The sequence below is a fragment of the Homo sapiens genome, chromosome X (genome assembly GCF_000001405.40).
Source record: "Homo sapiens chromosome X, GRCh38.p14 Primary Assembly".
Taxonomy (NCBI): Eukaryota; Metazoa; Chordata; class Mammalia; order Primates; family Hominidae; genus Homo; species Homo sapiens.
Genome location: NC_000023.11, coordinates 104,010,505 through 104,015,286, shown reverse-complemented (window position 1 = coordinate 104,015,286; position 4,782 = coordinate 104,010,505). Strand labels below are relative to the sequence as shown.

At 45.5% G+C, this 4,782-nt stretch overlaps 1 protein-coding gene across 1 annotated transcript; it reads left to right on the top strand.

Annotated features, from left to right (window-relative positions):
* Nucleotides 1,579-4,140, top strand: H2BW1 (H2B.W histone 1). Its single transcript, NM_001002916.5, has 3 exons — nucleotides 1,579-2,117; nucleotides 2,539-2,597; nucleotides 3,824-4,140. The coding sequence occupies exons 1-2, from the start codon at nucleotides 1,711-1,713 to the stop codon at nucleotides 2,573-2,575; spliced, it is 444 nt and encodes a 147-aa protein (NP_001002916.4). The 5' UTR covers nucleotides 1,579-1,710; the 3' UTR covers nucleotides 2,576-2,597; nucleotides 3,824-4,140.

Here is a 4,782-nt window from a genome sequence, read left to right as displayed (position 1 = left end):
TGAACCCAGCAGGTGGAGGTGGCAGTGAGCTGAGATCGCACCAATGCACTCCAGCCTGGGTGACAGATTGTTGTCTCAAAAAAAAGAAAAAAAAAGAATTAGAGAAACAAAATAAGGACTATATATTACAATTTTGCATCACGTAGATGATGGGAACATCCTGTGAGAGCAGCTCATGCCATAGTCACCACTGGCTCAGGCAATAAAGGCTTTCCAGCCCTTGAGGCACCACAAGCCATGGCTGAAAGTGTGGGGAGGTGACCCGGAAATGAACCAGTGAGAGCCTCCCTGGGAGGTTTAACCTTGCAGATTGTGAAGAAAAACGATGTGGCTCTTTCCCTGTTTTTTGTTTGCTTTTTTTTTTTTAAGAAAAATATCATGCTGACTTACTGATATGAATACAGAGATTGTTGTGGACAGGTCTCTTGTGCCTTGTACCAAACTACGAGAAGGATTGTCTTGCTAAACGTTTAAGTAGATTTATAAGATCATCATTTGTAAAGGGGACTGTTCAGAAATGGTGTACTAGAGTTCAGTCACAGAGCTTACCATATACGATCTTATCTAACAACAAAAATGAGCCTTTTTGTCCTTCTTAATCGTGAACCAATTTATTAGGAGTAGAATAAGTTGTTTGCTAAAGACATGACAGGAAATACACTTGAAAGCCTGACCTTTGAAATGACAGTTCATCGATGACCTTTATTTCTTCAGCATTTCTTAAGAATCTTTCTTGTTCAATTCCTGCAACTTAATGTTACTTAAATGCATTTAAGGAATGCCTTTGCGTATATTATCAGAGACTCTTGAAAGCTCTCTTTCTAACTTGAACATAATTTCCATTTCTGGAATCCCTTTCTCTCCCTCAGGGGCTTCCTAGGAGATTTAAGGCGATATTTTTTAACCCAATATCTCTTAAACTTATTAGCCATTTCCAGCTTTTGAGTTGTGATTTGTGGTTGTTGTTTTGCTTTCCTTTTTTTTTTTTTAATTATTTTTTTAAACCTGGTCGATGTCGAGTGTTGTCATATGTTTTTAATAAAAGTGCCTTTCTGTTTCTATTGTCTGCTTGGAGGCTGGGGTATGGCCATTTCTCATTCTCCTGATTCACGGAAGATGTTGATCAGTACTGAAGCCCGGAGCCAGACCGCTAGGTCCTTTGATGCCCAGGCGGCCATGTCAGGGAGTTCCTGCTCAAGCCAGGGTGGCTTAGCCCAGGATAACAGTAGCTTCTGAGATGGGTGACAATTGTTCCACACGTGGCCACAGTCATTCTTCCGGCATAATGGACTTGGGCTCAGGAGGTCTGTCTCTCCTCAGGGATCATGAGCTGAAATTGCTAAACTTTGGGAGTTTTCAGTGACACCCTTCAAAGTGCTCACAGTGTGGCATGGATCAGCTGAGAAGGGCGGATGCGCTTTTGCCCCGTGAGGCATCTATCTGTGTAACTTTCTCCGAGCTGGGCCACAAGGGGCGCTTAGGCCCGCAGACGCCCACTGTGATTGGTTGACGAGATGCCACGCAACGGGACCATCCAGTCACCTTCAACGCAGGTAGGTTTGCTGAGAGGCTCCCTGCGTGACACTTCATCCAATCAGACGTGAAGCTGGCCCGAGACGTGGAGCCATGCTGCGTACCGAAGTGCCCCGGCTTCCCCGGTCCACAACCGCCATTGTCTGGTCGTGCCATCTAATGGCCACTGCCTCCGCCATGGCTGGACCTTCCTCTGAGACGACCTCTGAGGAACAGCTGATCACCCAGGAGCCCAAAGAGGCCAACTCCACTACGTCCCAGAAGCAGAGCAAGCAGAGGAAGCGAGGGCGCCATGGGCCCCGCAGGTGCCACTCCAACTGCCGCGGGGACAGCTTCGCCACCTATTTCCGCCGGGTGCTGAAGCAGGTTCACCAGGGCCTCAGCCTTTCCCGGGAGGCCGTGAGTGTCATGGATTCTTTGGTTCATGACATATTGGACCGCATCGCCACCGAGGCTGGTCACCTGGCCCGCTCCACCAAGCGCCAGACCATCACTGCCTGGGAGACCCGGATGGCTGTGCGCCTGCTGCTGCCGGGGCAGATGGGCAAGCTCGCCGAGTCCGAAGGCACGAAGGCTGTCCTCAGGTACACCAGGAGCAAGTGCGCTCCCTCAGGAGCACCCGAGCACCACGGGAACCCAAAGGGTCTTTTCAGAGCCACTGAATGTGGCCTGAAAGACCAGTGGCTCGCCAAGGGGGACACCACCGGAGGCTGGGGTGGGTGGTGCCCTTCCGACTTGGGGGGCATGTGGCGTGTGGCATCCTGCAATGTTTCAAGCATTTTCCCCTCAGTACTAAACATTGTCAGCTCCAATATATCTGTAGTGCAGTTTGCTCCAAGGAAAAATAGTGGGTGTTTCCGTGATCGTGTTTCATTTCCTCAGTTTCGTAAACGGTCATTTTTGTTAGTTATGTTTCTAGGCTATCTATATGGTGATATTATTACTGCACTGATCTTTACCTTTTTCTGTCTCATTCTCCTGTGACTGGATGGTGGAATTTTCCAGAACTTCACTGTATGCCATACAGCAACAGAGAAAGTGAATACGCTGATACAAGAAGCAAGGTAACCCTCCTAAATGTTTTCAACACCGCTCCCATCACGAATCCATGTAAATAAGCAAATGAGGCCAAGTTACAGTGTACATACAGCTAAATAAAATTTTCAAGAATCCGTTCATTTTCCAGCTTCCTCGACTCTGAGATCACTATTGCAGTTCATTCTTTTTTTGCCATGACGATAATCTTTTCGTTTCTTTTTAAACAGAAACCTTCGTTACTTCCAGGTTTGTGTCAGTAGGCTTAGGGAGTGTCCACAGAAATGGCTCATGCCCTAGTGTTCAGTGGTGTAGCCAATGAGTGACTTGCAGTCTATGAGCAACAGTCATTGTCCCAGTGTGGGGGCAGTGAACCAGGCTGAACCCACAACAGCCTTGCACTGATATGCAGTCTGGTGTTTGGGGGGACAGGGTTGTGATTCTTTACCTGATGTTTTTGTTTTCAGTGTTTGTAATCATGGTCATTTAAGGATATGAATCCAGTGCTAGGAGTAGTATATGTTCCTTGCCCCTAGCATCAAGTTATGCAGAGGATGGTCAGCCTTTAGGAGAAGTCAGATAACGCTTATTTCCTCAAGAGATTTGCATATTAATATTCATGTTAATGTTAATATAGGTTAGCTTTCATTGTGCTTTCTTCTGGGTCCCAAGTCTTTGTATTTTTAGCACTTTTTCCTATGAGTGTATTGTTGAATTTCAGAGCAGCTGCTGACTTTCCCATTGCTTTTCTTTTCAGAGGATCTCCAGCCGCCCGAGTATGTGGACCAGAGAACATACTCTGGGATTGCGACCCATAGGAATTTATTGTATTGTGCCTTGAAGCTCAATATGTGGCCATTTTTGTCAAATGTTTCCCGTGAATTTTGAAACATCTCATAAACAACCTTTCTCCTTCATATGTAGAAACCAGTAAAGGGTGACACTCTCAGTCAAACCATGAAACAAAAGCTGGGAAAATGACAAAAATCAAAATTTTCTTGAGCCCATCAGAAGTGGGAAAGAACCACACCAGATGGCCCAACACATAGCCACATAGATTATTCCACCTTTGGCAGAGGACCGTTTGGTCAAGAGGGAAATGGGGGCATGGCAGGATAGTAGCCAGAGCTTCCCTGAGTAGTGCATTTGGGCAGCGTGGGCAGTTCACCTCCAGAGCTCCACTTGGGCTCCGTAGAGAAAGGATGTAGGGCCAAGAAGTCCCCTCATTGGGATTTGCTACTTTCTGTTTTTGCAGAATATTAGAAAAATGTCATGAAAATAGTTGAAGAGAAATGCTCACTGCACAAGGAGACCAAGAAAAACCCCCCACGAAATCAGCCACAACTAAATCGCTCTGGACGGTGCCGCCAGGTGACCCTACATGTCCGGAGCAACACTTTGAAAACCAAAGACGCTTGGCAGAACCCTGTTCCTTTCCAGAGACAGAGCTGTGTACCTTGTCTAAAACACCGCATCTCACTCAGTGACTTATTTCTCATTATGCTAATTGTTTTCGCTTTAAAGCGCCAGTCTTTCTGTCAAATGGGACATACAAATAAATTTCTAAAATTATCCTTGCATGTCTACTGGGTAATTTGACATGTCTTTTTCAGAAACCGTATCCATTGGGATATTTTACCCTGGAGTGTGTGTTTTCCATTTGTAAATTCAGAAATGAATGAGGAGCATTAGTAAAACAGCGTTAACAATGAACTCTGATTGGGCTGTGGGGAGTGAAGAGTGAGAGTTCAAGGGGACTGATGCCGGTGAGTTATAGGAAGAAAGAGAAAAAGGCTGCTTTGATGTGAAGATGGGCAGAGGAGCTCACACATCTGCTATAGCATTTCAGTGGGTGATTGAGGAGAAGGGGAACCTAGTGAGCAATCGTGATGTCAAGCTGTGGCTTACTGAAAACACAAAGTAAGGGAAATAGCTTTACGGCTTAAACAACAAATAAGAAGTATCAATGTATGGAAAGTAGGATGAATAGGACAAACATAGTCCAATCAATCTTTTCATCAGCATTCCCTGTACCATGGAGTTCATTCGTAAACATGAGCAAGGACCCAAAGACAGTACAGAGAAAATGATATAAAAAATTTTAAGGAACAATACCTATTCTAGGCTCCCTAGAAATGGAATCCCACTTGCTTAGATTTGTCTGATTCTGCTCTTCTTCAGACTAGAATCTTTTGTTTTTGGAGACCTTTATGC